At 35.8% G+C, this 18,277-nt stretch overlaps 1 long non-coding RNA gene across 1 annotated transcript in view; it reads left to right on the plus strand.

Moving 5' to 3' along the window:
• The window catches only part of LOC107986841 (uncharacterized), a 66,127-nt gene that overhangs the window by 6,827 nt on the left and 41,023 nt on the right, over positions 1-18,277 (plus strand). The window contains exon 2 of the long non-coding RNA XR_002956584.2: positions 12,363-12,476. This is a non-coding gene — a long non-coding RNA (uncharacterized LOC107986841). The remainder of the gene's footprint in view (positions 1-12,362; positions 12,477-18,277) is intronic.

Genomic DNA, 18,277 nt, shown 5'->3' on the forward strand with positions numbered 1-18,277 from the left:
TTGTTTTCTTTATTCTCGAACCTACATACCTCCATCTGTACTTAATTATGTGTTGTAAATGTTCAGAGTCAGTCATGGTAAAGAGCAAAAGCCCCAAGGAGAAGACTAAGAAGCCTCTTTTTGCTGCCACCTTTTCTTGTCCCAGGTATTTAAAAACCACAGATTTGTAAGGTGAACATATTGGATTAGCAAGAGATACATTTGAAGGTCTGTCTTGTTCTAGCATTCCATGAAATAAGAAAGGGACTATGACTCTATTTTATACCTTTAATGAAAAATAAGATCAAATATATAAAATAACATTAGCAACCAAACACCAAATCATAAACATGTCAAAACATTAGCATATAATATAAAGTAGTAAGTAGATTTACTGATTTTTGTTATATTTATGTCATCATGCATGTATATTCTATATCTACATATCTGATGTAAAAATTACACTGTGTCTCTGCCTGCACTGAAAATATTTTATTAGATACACATTAGGATGGTTATTGTAAAAAAAGAAGAAAAAAGTGTTGGTGAGGATGGGGAGAAATTGGAACCCTTGCGCACTGCTGGGAGTAATATAAAATGGCACAGCCACTGTGGAAAATGGATTGGCAATTCATAAAAAAGTGGTATATAGAATTACCACATGATCTAGCAATTCTACGTCTCGGTGTATACTCAAAATAAATACAGGCAGAGATTCAAACAGATATTTGTAGACCAAGGTTCATAGGAGCATTATTCACAATAACCGAAATGTGGAAGCAACCCAAATGTTCATTGAGAGATGAATGAAAAAACAAAATGTAATGTATATGCAGTGGAACAAAATGTGATGTATATACAATATTCAGTCTTTAAAAGTAAGTAAATTATGACAGATGCTACAACATGGGTGAACCCTGAAGACATCCTAAGTAAAATAAGCCAGTCACAAAAGGACATTTACTATAATACTTCAGTTATATCAGGTACCTAGAGTAATCAAATTCATAGAGACAGAATGCAGAATGTAGAATGCTTGAGGGAAGGGGAAGGAAGGGAAAACTAGTGTTTAATGGGTACAGAGTTTTCACGGGGGAAGATAAAAAAGTTACAAAGTGGTAATGGTTGCACAACAATGTAAACATACTTCTTGCCATAGAACTGTGCACTTAAATGATTAAAATAGTATATATTATGTTATGTATACTTTACCACAATAAAATATTCTATTAACATAAAAAATAATTAATATAGAAGTTCCAATTATACTTTGGAAACTGAGTCACTTTAGTTGGCTTCCTTTTCTGACTAGATTTTTAGGCAATTTACATTTCTACTTTTTCATTATAATGGAAGCCATTGCCAGAAAGTAAGAGAAATAGATGCTGAATAAGCAAAAGTAGCAAATGCTGTCTATACCATAGCTCCAAAGCAGGATGTAGGCTTGAGGTAGTTGCAAAAGCTAAAAAACCAAGTCAGGAGGAGAGTTCTGGCAATCAGAAGCAGAGGGACCATGGATTTTACAGAAGGATCAAGAGGGCTTTTGTGAATAATGTGTTTTACTTTTAGATTCTCTTTCTGCATCCGTAAAATGGGAGACTCATCGGATACTATTTACAGTTTTTGAATCAGTTTGAATCACCATACAACCCCCATTAATTCAGTTCAGCATTTTGATTCTCCCTCTAGATTGCAAGATCCTTTGAATATAATTGATGCTATTTTTATTCCTAAATTCCTTGTCATTTATGGTAATAATCTATTAATAATGAATAAATGAAGGCAAACTCTGTAACACAGTGCTCATCTTATCAGAATGTGCAGTTCAGGGAAATATTGATTTGCTTATCAGCCAAACAACTGACATATCTTAATTGATAAGTTGAAATATCCAATTCGGGAAAAGTATTCAAAGATTTTGTTAATCTACAAGTGCAGAATAAAATACCAATTTTGGTGAATTGAACCTGCCACAAAATAACAATCCATAGAGAAAGATAAGATAATAAAAGCATAATAACAGTCAACATTTTATTTAGCATTTACTAAGTGCCAGACTCTGTATTAAATACTTTTTATGAATTCTCTTATTTAAATTTCACAATGAATTTTAAGATATGTATTTTTATTTTAAAGGTGAAAGAACCCAAAGATATAAAGTTAAATGATTTCCCCAAGACCAAAGTAACTATTAGATTAATAGTTTAAACCCAGAGAATTGAATCCATGACCTACGGGGTTTTAAAACCAATGTACATTTCTTAAGTGGGGTGGCATGAGAAGAAGACCAGGAAGTTCTGACTTTGTGTAAGCATTGGGCCACTCTGCACATGTAACTTCTTAACTCAAAGATTTGTGCTAACTCTGCAATGACTGTTGGTGAGATCCTTATTAGTGGTCACAGATTTCACAGCTTTTTTTTTTCTGTTTTCTGTTTTAAGGAGTGAACATTTTAATGGTTTTCAGCAGTGAAATAGCCATTTAAGGTTTATTAAGAGCATCTGTAAGCCGGAGGCTTTTTGTGGAATGCTATGGGAACAGATACATATTTAAAATAAAAGTGACATGCCTATTTCTGTAAAAGAGGAGCTAAAATATTTCTGTAGGAAAAAGATCTGGTTTTTAAAACAGATAGTTAAAAGTACCTTTTTCAATAAAATAAAACGATTTAACTTTTTAAGTACATGATTTATTCATGCCAAAAAATTAAGTATATATGAGTTCTCATTTTAAGTGCTCATGTGAAAATATTTCTCCTTGCAATGCATGCTTTACAGGTGTTCCTGTAACATGGGGCCAGCCTTATATGTAGCTTTTCAATATGCTAGACATATGCGATACGTATAATACCGCTGACCAGGTGTACACTCATTGGTAATTACTGTCCAGCCTATTTAGCTCTTTTGGTTTTAGTGTACTACTAATGAGATCTAGCTCATCACTTCATTCCTCCAAATCACGTAGCTCTAAACAAACAAAGCATAGCTGCATAGAGCCATCCTCCATACCTTTAACCCAATTTAACTCTTGTCCATATGTGTTATGTTGATTTGGGCAAGAGAATCTCTGTTTGGAAACAAAAGAAACTAAATAAAACAAAGAAGAATCACCACCCCCACTCTCACCAGGCAACTCAAAATATAGGCCCTGACTTACCAATACTATTTTTACCTTATTTCTGCATTATTTGATGAAGCCATCAGTTTAATCATTATGTTCTATTTCTGAAGTTGTTTCATTGAAGAATAACAGACATGTAGAAAAAGAAAACACTGTGAATATACATCTCAATAATTCATCATGAAGAAAGTATTCTCATTTAACTGTCTCCAAGGTACACATGATAATGATTTCTAATATCATAGTCTGTTTTTCCCTAGTGTTTGGCTCCATGAATAAGTGTCTACTCACATTTTTGTTGGTATATACTAGGAAATGGGATTTGCTGCTTCACAGTGCAGGTTTAGATTCAGTTTTAAAACATAATACCAAACCATATTGCAACATTGGTTGTTTAATTTTACACTCCTACTACAGGGTAGGAGAGTTTCCATCACTCATATCCTTGCCAACCTTCTTATAAGTAACACAGGGCTGAGTTTTATTATTGTATCACTATGACACAGTGATATTGTATTCTTTTAATTTGGGACATTTCATACCTTTACATTCAATATAGTTATTGATATGATGTAAATCTGTAATCTCACTCCTTGCTTCATATATGATTCACCTAGCTTTTCCTCTGGTTAATGAGGATCAGACCCTATGTTTTGCTTCCTTGCCTTTGCCTTTCCATCTTCTATTCTAGCTTCATCAAGGGCCCTAGGGAAAAAGCACCCTCACATATAATTTTTTTAAATTCAGCAACTCAGACTTTATTCCAGATCTTCTGCAAAACAAAAACAAAAACAAAAACAAAAACAAAAAAAACCCTGCATAACAAGATCTCTAGTTTATTGTACACATTTAAATTTGAGAACATATAATTTTATAAGCATTTGGTATTTGGTGCCTTTTGTGTGCTAGGCATTTCATAAACCTTCTCTCATTTTCTCTTCAAAGAATTTTACATGAGAGAGAGAGAGGATAAGAGAAGAAAAAAAGAGAGGGAGAGAGAAATAAGTCAAGCTACATGGTCAAGGTCAGGTTCACAGATGTAGGAAGCTAAAGAAAGCAGTATGACCCAGTTTATTTAATTCTAAAGTCTGTACAATTTTCAGAGGATCCCATGGTCTTTCTTGTTAGTGATTGCTTACATCCACTTTTTAAATATAAAAAAGATACAAAATAATCATAAAGGTAATAAATTTTATAATTTTAGTTAACAAATGACTGTTTCTTTCTCTAAGAATATTTAACTATCATTTTACAAATTCATCCCATCAGAAAACCTATGTGTCTGTACACACATACACATGCAGAGATGTGCAAACATGTACATAAATATGTATAAAATATGTGTGTATACCTATAACATGTACATATACATATAATTTGGAATGTTTTCCCCTTTCATTGTATATATTTATATATATGTATACTGTCAAGTGTACACATATAAGATTTAGAATGTATTTTCTTTCCGTTTCTATTTTTTATTTCCAACTTTTATTTTAAGTTTAGGGGTACATGTGCAGGATGTGCAAGTTTGTTACATAGGTAAAACTGTGCCGTGATGCTTTGCTGCACAGATTATCCCATCATTCAGGTATTAAGCCCAGAATCCACTAGCTATTTTTCCTGATCTTCTCCCTCCTCCCTCTCACCCCCCATCTTCAACAGCCCTAGTGTGTGTTGAACACATGCATCCATGTGTTCTCATAATTTAGCTCCCACTTGTAAGTGAGAATGTGTGGTATTTGGTTTTCTGTTCCTGCATTAGTTTGTTAAGGATAATGATCTCCAGCTCCATTCATGTCCCTGAAAAAGACATGATCTCATTCCTTTTTATGGCTGCATAATATTCCATGATATATGTGTACCACATTTTCTTTATCCATTCTATCATTTATGGGGATCTAGGCTTATTCCATGCCTTTGCTATTGTGAATAGTGCTGCAATGAACATACATATGCATGCATCTTTATAATAGAATTATTTATATTCCCATACCTAGTAATGGTATTGCTGGGTTGAATGATATTTCTGTCTCTAGGTCTTTGAGGAATTGCCACACTGTCTTCCACAATGATTGAACTAATGTACACTTCCACCAACAGTGTGAAAGCATTCCCTTTTCTCCACAACCTCACCAGCATCTGTTATTTATGACTTTTTAATAAAAGTCTTTCTGACTGGTGTGAGATGGTATCTCATTGTGGTTTTGATTTGCATTTCTCTAATGATCAGTGATGCTGAGTTTTTTTTTTCCATATGTTTTTTGGCCACTTGTATGTCTTCTTTTGAAAAGTATCTGTTCATGACCTTTATCTGCTTTTTAATGAGGTCTTTTTTAAAAAAATTTGTTTAAGTTCCTTGTAGATTCTGGACATTAGACCTTTGTCAGATGGATGGATTGCAAAAATTTTCTCCCATTCTGTAGGTTATCTGTTCACACTGTTGACAGTTTCTTTTGCTGTGCAGAAGCTCTTTAGTTTAATTAGATCTCATTTGTCAATTTTTGCTTTTGTTCCATTTGCCTTTGGCATCTTTATCATGAAATCTTCGCCAGTGCCTATCTCATGAATGGTATTGCCTAGATTTTCTTCTAGGGTTTTTATAGTTTTGAGTTTTACATTTAAGTCTTGAATGCATCTTGAGTTGATTTTTTTATATGGTGTAAGGAAGGGGTCCAGTTTCAATTTTCTCCATATGGCTAGCCAGTTCTCCTAGCACCGTATATTAAATAGAGAATCCTTTCCCCATTACTTGTTTTTGTCAGGTTTGTCAAAGAGCAGATGGTTGTAAGTGTGTGGTCTTATTTATGGGTTGTCTATTCTATTCCACTCCATTGGTCTATGTGTCTGTTCTTGTGCCAGTACCATGCTGTTTTAATTACTTTAGCCTTGTAGTATAGTTTGAAATCAGGTAGTGTGGCGCCTCCAGCTTTGTTCTTTTTACTTAGAATTGCCTTTCCCATTTGTGCCCTATTTTGGTTCTATACGAATTTTAAAATAGTTTTTTCTAGCTCTGTGAAGAATGTCATTGGTGGTTTGATAGGAATACCACTGAATCTATAAATTGCTCTGGGCAGTATGGCCATTTTAATGATATTGATTCTTCCTACCCATGAGCATGGAATGATTCTCCACTTGTTTGTGTCATTTCTGATTTCTTTTAGCAGTGGTTTATAGTTCTCCTTGAATAAGTCTTTCACTTCCCTTGTTAGCTGTATTCCTAGGTATTTTATTCTTTCTGTGGCAGTCGTGAACGGGAATACATTTGTGAGTTGGCTCTCAGCTTGCCTGATGTTGGTGTATAAGAAAATGCTGGTGATTTTTACACATTGATTTTGTATCCTGAGACTTTTTGAAGTTGCTTATAAGCTTAAAAAGCTTTTGGGGCGAGATGATGGGGTTTTCTAGATACAGGATTATATCATCTTCAAACTAAGATAATTTTACTTCCTCACTTCCTAACTGAATACCCTTTATTTCTTTCTCTTGCATAATTTCCTTGGCCAGAAGTTCCAATACTATTTTGAATAGGAGTGGTGAGAGAGGACATCCTTGCCTTGTGCTGGTTTTCAAGGGGAATGCTTCCAGCTTTTGCCCATTCAGTATGATATTGGCTGTGGGTTTGTCATATATGGCTCATTATTTTGAGGTATGTTCCTTCAATACCTAGTTCATTGAGAGTTCTTAACATGAAGGGATGTTGAATTTTATCAGTGGTCTTTTCTGCATCTATTGAGATAATCATGAGGTTTTTGTCTTAGTTCTGTTTATGTGATGAATCACATTTGTTGATTTGCATATTTTGAACCAACATGGCATTCTGGGGATGAAGCCTACTTGATTGCAATGGATAAGCTTTTGATGTGTTTCTGGATTTGGTTTGCCAGTATTTAGTTGAGGATTTTTGCACTGATATTCATCAAGGATATTCACCTGAGGTTTTCTTTTTTTATTGTATCTCTGCCAGGTTTTAGTGTCAGGATGATGCTCGCCTCATAGAATGAGTTAGGGAGGAGTCCCTCCTACTGAAATTTTTGGAACCGTTTCAGTAGGAATGCTATCAGCTCTTCTTTGTACCTCTAGTGGAATTCAGCTGTGAATCTGTCTGGTCCTGGGCTTTTTTTGGTTGGTAGACTATTTTACTGCCTCAATTTTAGAACTCATCATTGGTCTATTCAGGTATTCAATTTCTTCCTAGTTCAGTATTGGGAGGGTGTATGTGTCCAGGTATTTATCCATTTCTTCTAGATTTTCCAGTTTATGTGCATAGTGGTGTTTATAATATTACCTGATGGTTGTTTGTATTTCTGTAAGGTCAATGGTAATATCTCCCTTATTATTTCTGATTGTGTTTATTTGAAGCTTCTCTCTTTTCTTCTTTTATTAGTCTAGCCAGCAGTCTATTTTATTAATTTTTTCAAAAACCAGCTCCTGGATTCATTGATCTTTTGAAGGGCTATTTTTGTGTCTATCTCCTTCAGTTCAGTTCTGATCTTGGTTATTGCTTATCTTCTGCTAGCTTTGGAGTTTTCTTGCTCTTTGTTCTCTAGTCCTTTTAGTTGTAATGCTAGGTTGTTAACTTGAGATACTTCTAGCTTTTTGATGTGGGCATTTAGTGCAATAAATTTCCCTCTTAACACAATGTTAGCTGTGTCCCAGATATTCTGGTACATTGCCTCTTTGTTCTTATTCATTTCAAAGAACTTGATTCTTCCTTAATTTCATTACTTACCCAAAAGTCATTCAGGAGCAAGTTGTTCAATTTCCATGTTGTTCTAACATTTTGAGTGAATTTCTTAATCTTGAGTTCCAATTTGGTTGTGCTGTGGTCCAAGAGGCTGTCTGTTATTATTTCAGTTATTTTGCATTTGCCGAGGAGTGTTTTACTTCCGATTCTGTGATCAAATTTAGAGTAAATGCCATGTGGCAATAAGAAGAATGTATATTCTTGGTTTTAGGGTGGAGATTTCTGTAGATTCTATCAGGTACACTTGATCCAGAGCCAAGTTCAGGTGCTGGAATGTATTTGTTAATTTTCTGTCTTGATGATATAATATTGTCAGTTGGGTGTTAAAGTCTCTGATACGGTTTGATTGTTTCCCCATCCAAATTTCATCTCGAATTGTAATTTCCACACGTCAAGGGAAGAACTTGGTGGGAGGTGACTGGATCATGAGGGCAGTTTCCTCCATGCTTTCTCATGATAGTGTAGGAGTTCTCATGAGATCTGAGGATTTTAAAAGTGGCACTTTCCCCTTTGCACTCTCTCCTGCCACCATATAAAATGTGCCTTGCTTCCCAGTCAACTTTTGCCATGACTGTAATTTTCCTGAGGCCCCCCCAGTCTCCTTTCTTTATAAATTAGTGATTTATAAAGAACTGTGATTCAATTAAGCCTCTTTCTTTATAAATTAGTCAGTCTCAGATAGTATTTTTATAGCAGTATAATAATGAATTAATACAGACAATTGGTACCAAGATAGTGGGGCATTGCTATAATGATAACCTGAAAATGTGGAAGCAACTTTGAAACTGGATAACAGTCAGTGGTTGGAATAGTTTGGAGGGCTCAGAAGAAGACAGGAAGATGAGGGAAAGTTTGGAACTTCCTAGAGCCTTGTTGAACGGTTTTGACCAAAATGCTGATAGTGATATGGACAATGAAGTCCAGGCTGAGGTGGTCTCAGATGGAGATAAGGAACTTATTGGGAACTGGAACAAAGGTCATTATTGCTATGCTTTAGCAAAGAGACTGGTAGCATTTTGCCCCTGCCCTAGAGATCTGTTGAATTTTGAACTTGAGAGAGATGGTTTAAAATTAGAACTTAAGTTTAAAAGCAAGCAGATCATAAAAGTTTGGGAAATTTTCAGCTTGACTATGTGGTCAAAAAGAAAAACCCATTTTCTGGGGAGAAATTCAAGCTGGTTGCAGAAATTTGCACAAGCAATGAGGAGCCAAATGGTAATAGCCAAGATAATGGGGAAAATGTCTCCAGGGAATATCAGAGATCTTTAAAGCAGCCCCTTCCATCACAGACTTAGAAGCCTAGGAGGGAAAAATAGTTTTGTGGACTGCGCCCACAGCTTCACTGCTCTGTGCAGCTTAGGGACTTGGTGCCCTGCATCCTAGCTGCTTTAGCTCCAGCCTTGGCTAAAAGGGGCCAATGTACAGCTCAGGTCATTGCTTCAGAGATTGCGGGCCCCACGGCTCAGTGGCTTCCACATGATGTTGGGTCTGCCGGTGTGCAGAAGACAATAGTTGAGCTTTGGGAACCTTCTGCCTAGATTTCAGAAGATGTATGGAAATGCCCTGATATCCAGGCAGAAGTCTGCTGCAGGGGCAGAGCCCCCTTGTAGAACCTCTGCTAGGACAGCATGGAAGGGAAATGTGGGGTCAGAATTCCCACACAGAGTCCCACTGGGCACTGCCTAATGGAGCTGTGAGAAGAGGGCCACCGTCTTCCAGACCCCAGAATGATAGATCCACAAACAACCTCCACTGTGCACCTCGAAAAGCCACAGGCACTCAACTTCAGCACATCGAAGCAGCTGCAGGGGGTGTACCCTGCTAAACCACAGGGACAGAGCTGCCCAGGGCTGTGGAAGCCTACTCACTTGCATCAGTGTGCCCTGGATGTGAGACATGGAGTCAAAGGAAATGTTGAAGCTTTAAGATTTAATGACTGCCCAGCAGGATTTCAGACTTCTGTGGGGCCTGTGACCCCTTTTTTTTTTGGCCAATTTCTCCCATTTGGAATGGAAATATTTACCCATTGGCTGTACCCTCATTGTATCTTGGAGGTAACTAACTTGATTTTGACTTTACTTGATTTCTCCCATTTGGAATGGAAACATTTACCCATTGGCTGTACCCTCATTGTATCTTGGAGGTAACTAACTTGATTTTGACTTTACAGGCTCATAGGCAGAAGGGACTTGACTTGTCTCAGATAAGAGTTTGGACTTGGACTTTTGAGTTAATAATGGAATGAGTTAAGACTTTGGGGAACTGTTGAGAAGGCATTATTGATTTTTAAATGTGAAAAGGACATGAGATTTTGGAGGGGCCAGGGGCAGAATGATATGGTTTGGCTCTGTGTCCCCACCCAAATCTCATCTCAAATTGTAATCCCCACATGTTGAGAGAGGGAACTGGTGGGAGGTGATTGGATGATGGAGGCAGTTTTCCTCATGATGTTCCCATGATAGTGAGGGTGTTCTGACAAGATCTGGTTGTTCAATAAATGTCTAGCATTTCCCCTGCACTCTCTGTCTCTCCTCCACCATGTAAAATGTACCTTGCTTCCCATTTACCTTCTGCCATGATTGTAATTTTCCTGTGGCCTCCTCAGCCATATGGAAATGTGAGTCAATAAACCCTCCTTTCTCTATAAATTACCGAATCTCAGATAGTATCTTTATAGCTGTGTGAAAACCGACTAATACAGTCTCCCACTATTATTGTGTGGAAGTCTAAGTCTCTGAAGGTCTCTAAGAACTTGCTTTATAAATCTGAGTGTTCCTAGATTGGATGCAAATATATTTAGGATAGTTAGATCTTCTCTTTGAATTGAACCCTTTACCATTATGTAGTGCCCCCTTTGTCCTTTTTTATCTTTGTTAAAGTCTGTTTTGCCAGTAACTAGGATTGCAACCCCTGCTTTTTTTGGTTTTTCATTTGCCTGGTAAATTTTCCTCCATCCCTTTATTTTGAGTCTATGTGTGTCTTTGCGATGTGAGCTGCATCTCTTAAAGTTAGTATACCAGTGGGTCATGGTTCTTTATCCAGCTCGCCACTCTACGTCTTTTAATTGGGGCATTTAGCCCATTTACATTTAATGTTAGTATTTCTATTTGTGGATTTAATCCTGTCATCATAATGCTAGCTGGTTATTTTGCAGACTTGTTTATGTGGGTGCTTCATAGTGTCACTGGTCTGTGTACTTCAGTGTGTTTTTGCAGTGGCTGGTAATAGGTTTTCCTTTCCATATTTAGTGCTTCCTTCAGGAACTCTTGTAAGGCAGGGCTGGTGGTAACAAATTTCCTCAGCATTTGCTTGAGGATCTTATTTCTCCTTTGCTAATGAAGCTTAGATCGTCTGGATATAAAACTCTTAGTTGGAATTTCTTTTCTTTAAGAATGTTGAATGTTGGCCCCAAATCTCTTCTGACTTATAGGGTTTCTGCCCACAGCTTTCCTTGGTTAGGGGTGGGGGTTCCCTTGGCTCAGTGTCACTCCTGGGTGGGCAGGCGCCCTGCCCTGCTTTTCTCTGTTCTGCATGGATTGAGTTGTTTCCCTGATCAGTTCCAATGTGAGTACCTGGATATTTCAGTTAAAGATGCTGTATTTACCTGCCCCTTTCATTCCTCTCCTGAGTGCTGCACAAGGTAGCTGCTTCTAGTCAGCCTTCTTGGCCCTGACCCCTCCTTTCTCTCTTTTAAGACATTGTAATTAAAAAGCCAGTAAGTCATAAATACTTATTTTAAATGCCTTCTTAGATAAAAAATTTTAATATAAAAGTAAGGATTACTTTTTTTTTCTTTTTTTTTTTTTGAGACGGAGTCTCGTACTGTTGCCTGGGCTGGAATGCAGTGGTGCAATCTCAGCTCACTGCAATCTCCATTTCCTGTATTAAAGAGATCCTCCTGCCTCAGCCTTCCGAGTAGCTGGGATTACAGGAGCCAGCCACCACGTCCAGCTAATTTTTTGTATTTTTAGTAGAGACAGGGTTTCACCATGTTGGCCAGGCTAGTCTCAAACTCCTGAACTCGTGATTTGCCCACCTCAGCCTCCCAAAAAACTAAGGATTTATAATACAAAACTAAGGAGATTTCAGGAAACCTAACTATTTTAATAAGTAATATTGACTTTATTTCTTGGAATATTTAAGTTTCTTTCACCATGAAAAATGTTAACAAAAATCAAATTATTTACTTGGTTTGGAATACGTGCTATTGCAAAGGCCAATATCTGAACAGTGTCAATATTAGCCAGAATGTCTGATTAATTTTAAATCTTTAAAAATACAATTAATGTTGAAATCTACCTTTTTCACATTAGCATTACACCTTTGCATAGTCACTTTTTTTAGTATTTCAAATAATTATTTAAAAATCAATCAATTCCAACACTACTATTTGTTTGCTATGTTGTAAACCTTAATATTTCCTAGATCTAAAACTACATTTGACAATGAAACAGTTGACTACCATTATAAACTTCATATGAAATATTTTGGATTTTGTTTTTCATTTTGAGTGCAGGCACCCATAGGATATTGAAAGTTATCAGGATATTCTTCCCACTCCAAGATCCAGGAAAGTAACACATCAATACAGGACAAGGAGATGCTTCAACATCAGAAATGCATGGGAGAGGTATGTGTTCTTCCCTGGGCTGATTTTGAACAGTTCTTTGAGGATTGCATTGACTCTTCCTACCTTCCACTCCCCTATGTGTCTGGCACATCAGTTTGCCCTTAGGTCCTTGCACTGAGTTTCTTTCCCTCAAGATTCCCTTTGCTGAAATTGTTACTGATTGTAATAAACATCCAGATGAGTTGGGCTGAGCTTTACCACTTGAAAGTATTTTCAGGTCAATTTTTTGTGATTTTTTAAAAAATGAAACCCTAATTTTACTATGGTGCTTAATGAACTTGTGATAAATATCAAAAAACTATGCCAAAATTTAAGGTTGGACCTGAGTTGTTCATATTTAGGGATTTAGGGATGACTAAGACATGAGTTCACCCTTTCCGCAGAAAGTTATGCACAGTAGAAAAATATAAAAACAGAAGGAAAAATAATTACTTTGTGCCTATTTTTGCTAGCTACTGTGCATACATTATTTTATTTTACACAAAAACCCTCAAGGAAGTTACATCACCTCTATTTTATGGAGAAGTAAGTGGGCATTACAGAGGGCAAGTATCATAATTTACAGCACCTGGTAAATTAGGAGGATTTACCTCATATGGGTAAATGGGACACAAGCTGAGGATTACAGGATCAAAACCCAGTGAGCCTCATTCCAAAGCCTCTCTTCTTTTCACAAAACATCTTACCCTGCCAGACTTGTAACTATTGGTGATATTTATGAATATACAGACAAATAGTAGAATAAATCTATGTGAGTAATTTTTTCTAACTTGTTTTTCTCCATGCATGGGAAGCAGGATGGCATAATGGTAGATAAATGCAATTTTGGTGGTCAGGCAAGCACGAATTTCAATCTTGACTCTAATATCTATTAATTACTTTCCCTCTAATATGCATTAGAGTATTAAACTGAACTAGCTTCTGTGAGGCTCTGTTTTCTCATATGTAGAATGGGAATAATAATGGTACCTAGATTGTAAGATTGTTTAAGTTATAAATGAGATAATGAAAATTAAATGCTTAACAGTGTATAGTAGATAGTAAGCTTACAAAAATATTAGCTATAAGTCTTAGTACCTATCGTCAACTTTAACCATTTAAAAACTGCTTAAAACAATGCACCTATTATTAGCAAAAAATTAAAAAGTAAGTCATAATTTATCACCATGCTGTGTCTAAAAAACATATTTTGATGAGTTGGCAATCATCCATAAATGCATTTACCATCATTTAAAAAATAAATGGGGCTGAGTGCAGGGGCTCATGCCTGTAGTCTCAGTATTTTGGGAGGTTGAAGTAGGAAGATTGCTTGAGGCCAGGAGTTTGAGACCAACCTGGACAACACAACGAGACCCTGTCTCTACAAAAATTTTAAAAATTAGCAGGAATGGTGGTGTGCACCTATGACTACTCAGGAGGCTGAGACAGGAGTTTGAGGCTGTCGTGAGCTATGATCAAACCACTGCACCCTACCTAGGCAAAAGAGCGAGACACTGTCTCTAAAAAAATAAAAATGTAAAACAATCTTTAAATTGGAAATAAAAGTATCAATACAAGCACAATTGCAGTTGCTTATTATTAATGAACTTTATACTGACAAGGAAAGTAAGGACTCAAAATGTCCATTTCCTTACATCTTTGCTTAAATCTTCCCGATTCTAATAAGGGTTATAAATTGGGAGTATTAATTGTGAAATCATTTTTAATAAAATCCAGGTACTTACATAAAATTTTGACCCACTTGTAATTGTTTGGTCTGGAACCTTCTGTAAAGCCATGATGTGAGAGGAACCACATAACACAATAGCTATAGCAATGAATTATAAATAAATAACTGTTGATATATGGAAAAAAGGAATTCATCAAGTTTAGCATTTTATTTCAGCTCAGTAGTGATACCACTTCAAACTGGTATCATTGACTAAGATTGACTTTACTGGTTGTCATGACCACAGTTCCAAGCACTCATAGTTGTTTTCAGTCCACTCAGCACCTTACAAAAGGGGTAATTTTCTTATCATTGATCTATTTCTTTTTCTTTGGCATGCTTTACATAGGGACCTTCAGAATGTGTCACCTTTCCAATCTTACCTGGGTCACAAGCTGGAGTAGGAAGGGCTATCATATTTCTAGCCTGTAGAAAAGAAAGATTTCCAAATATTTGGAAGGAATGGGAAGCCTAGTGGATCCAATTTAACTTCGCAATAAAAACACGTCATTGTACCCTCAAGATTAACAATCTAAGTAAAATATATTATATGTGAATGAGTATTTTTCCCCTCCACATGTGAATAAAAGTCTTGTGGAAACATTTTTTCCCATGAGACAAAATATTTTTGGATTTTATCAGAAATACTAAATGCAGCATTTTTATGTCTAGTTTACTTTTGCCTCTTATCTACAGAAGAACCCTGTGACTTGGAGAAGCTGTTACTCTGTCCTACATTGTTCCTGTGAGAAACAATACATTACAAAAGAATAGGGCTGTGTCTCAATAAAGCTTTACTTAGGGGTATTGAATTTTGAATATCATATAATTTTCATGTGTCATAAATATTATTTTTAAAGTGTTTTTTCAACTCTTTGGAAAAAAAGTTCTTAGCTCATCTACCATACAAACACAGGTAGTAGGCTGGATTTGGCCCATGGGCTGGCCCCTGCACCAGGTGACTGAATTGAAAAAAATTGACATACTGTGATGTTGTTGTATCTCACTCATACAAAGGTATTCTGGTCCTTCCCTAAAAAGAATATTCCCAAACTCTCACACTAAAACTAACAGCTCAGTATATTAATGACTATTTGAAAAAGTAATTCTTTGGCAAAATATAATTAAGTCAATTTTTTTATATGTTTTATACTCATAATCTGATAGAAAGTTAAATATTTTTACCGTCCATATTTTCTAAGGATACTTAATGTATAATTTTTTGATTTACAAAGGCTTAAGTCCCAATTCGTTTGTCATTAAACATGTTGAATAATTTACATCTATGTATTAAATAACTATAATAATAAGTTTGTCTGACAGCATAAAACCAATATGTTGCCAGATGTTTGACTGTTCATGGTTGCTTTTACATGCTCACTCTAATTTTTAAGGAGTCTAGGAAGCTCATTTTTGAAAATTATCAGGTGAGGATGTTTTAAAAAGTCAATAATGATGGCGATAAATTAAGATGAAGACCCAAACCTCATTCTTTAATCCCTTTGGGCCTTAGTGTCTTCAACGACTGAAAAACAAAAATGTCTGTCTCATGATTTCATGGAGATTCTTTCTAAATGATGACATGCTAGAACCATATAAAGGATTATAAAGGCTAGGATCATTATTTAAATAAAATATCGACTTTAAAGATCAAAAATTGTGGGTATATATGTACGCTTTTTAAGTGGTTATTACATGAATTCGAAATTTGGAATTAAGTATGGAAGTAGAAATTTCTTTGAATGCATGTGTGTTCGCGGGTATATGGCATAAGACAGATGTGTATATATTTACAAGGAGCTTTAATTTATATATTTTTAATAGACAGTTTTAACAAATTGGACTAAATGTCTCTTAAATCTGTACTTTCATTACAGAAAAAGATAAAATTATGTGAAAGAATATGACCCAGTTTTTCAAATTAACATTCATGAGGTTTGGTGACTAAGTCTTAGCAGAACATATTGAAAATGTAGCTCTGATTGTTTACAACCTTTTCTACTACTATGTTTTTTAATATCAGCATTTAGAAAGCCCCCAAGGATGCATTTATCTGCATTAAGAGCACCTAAAATCACACGGTTAGGTGACTGTCTTTTTTTATTCTAAAGATTTATTGTCACAAAAGCAAGGCTATGTTTTCTGCTGATCTAAATGATAAAATTAATGCATGCTCATTTTTTAAAAGTTGAAAACACTGAAGGATAAAAGGAAGACAAAAATTCACACATTGTCCCACTGATCCAAACAATATCACAATTAATATTTTGGTGAATTTTAAATCCATTTATGTTTAACCTATTGAAATTAAAATTTACATCAGTTTTGCATACAGGCTTTTAAAATGTAATATTATGCCATAATCCTTTTTCAATATAATCATACAGGATGTATAAACATCATTGCAGCATTCAGAGCTGAATCAAGGAAGAAGAACCATATATACATATGCACACACATATATCTGGTTCTTTATATGATCTATAAATATATTTATGTATTATATAATATACTATATTATATATAAACCATATATTTACATTATATATAAACCATATATAATATAGTTCAACCATATTATATGTATCTTATATATTGAGAAGCCAGTTACAACGATGTGATCTTATGCAATTGAGAAAGCAGGATAAACAGTCTATATGAAGCTACTGCTCTGTGTCTGATGCAAGAGGCTGAAGTCATCTGGGTGAGTAGTTGAGAAGGAAGGATAGTAGTAAAGTACAGATGGGGTAAGGGTAAGCTGGAATCTAATCTACAAGGATAAGCTGGGACCTATGAGGCAGGACTGGATCACACACTGGTTTCTGATGGCCTCCAAGCCTCCAACTTTGATAACAGGGATGACCAGGACAGAGAAGTTGACAGCCACCTCAAGCAAAACACATTCCAGGCCCAGGAGGTGAAGCAGCTGATGAAAGGGAACTACCAGGCACTGTAGGAGCTATGGCCTGGCTGCTGATCCAGGCCAACACAGGAAGCCAGCAGATCAAGGAGGAGAATCAGGAGCTATGACACTTGCAGAACTCTGCTCTGTCCTTCCTCTTGAAGAAAGAATATGCCTTCTGTGACTTCACTTTACCTTCCAAATCTCAATCTCATACAAAATGTCTTTTTCTGGCACTCTAACTTAAAACTGTGCGGGGTAGGGAATTCTGGGAAATACAAATCCTGCCTAAGTGGACACAATTCACAAAGTTCATCTTTATTTTAAGGCCTATGAACTATTTCATGAAGTACACATACCATACTCAGCATCACTGTACCCAGCTATTGAATATATGGAAACACTAAGATGTCTAATAGTGTTTATATATACTCTATTATTTTGCACGTTGTCTCTGAGGATCGTGGTGCTTGGCATTTGTTAATTGAGAAAATTGACTGATTCTTCTGCTTTTAAACCTTCTTAACTCTCCCTTTCTTCAGGTCTCAGCTTAAGTGTGAAAGTTGAGGAGAAGTCTCTCCTGATTCTGTAAAGTTGGTTTGTGATCCTCCATGGTGTTCCCAAAGCATTATGTATGCAGCATCCTTATTTTTCAGTGTAGTTTCCTAAGTACCCGTCTGTGCCTTTTACTACCCTCTAAATCACTTGATGGCAAAGTATCTTGCTTATTGTTAAATCTCCAGTTCTTAGGAATGTTCTTGGCACATAGTAATTTAGCAATTAATGCTTACAAATTAATGAAATTATACCATTAGTCAACCAAGAAGGTGCACTATTTTCATTTTTATTACTTTCCCTATTTGAAAAATATGCTCTGATTTTAGTTACCTGAATTTTCCTCAGAAAAATTGAATGAAAACTGCTTTCCCTTGGACTCATAGGGTATTTTTTCATTACCAGTGCATAAAAATTACTTGAAATGTTTTCCACTAGAGTCGCTCGAGGGGTTAATATCCTCTGAAATCAAAGACATTTCATTATGATATAACAATGTTTTGAAATTTTCTGTTTTGGATTGACTATTAAAGTTAACAAGCAATTGTTGTATACTATGCTTCTGCTAAGACTCCAGATAACTTTAGATAATTCATTGCTATTTTTTGGTGAATATTAATATGAAAATATTAATAT

Source organism: Homo sapiens, chromosome 7, assembly GCF_000001405.40.
Source record: "Homo sapiens chromosome 7, GRCh38.p14 Primary Assembly".
NCBI lineage: Eukaryota > Metazoa > Chordata > Mammalia > Primates > Hominidae > Homo > Homo sapiens.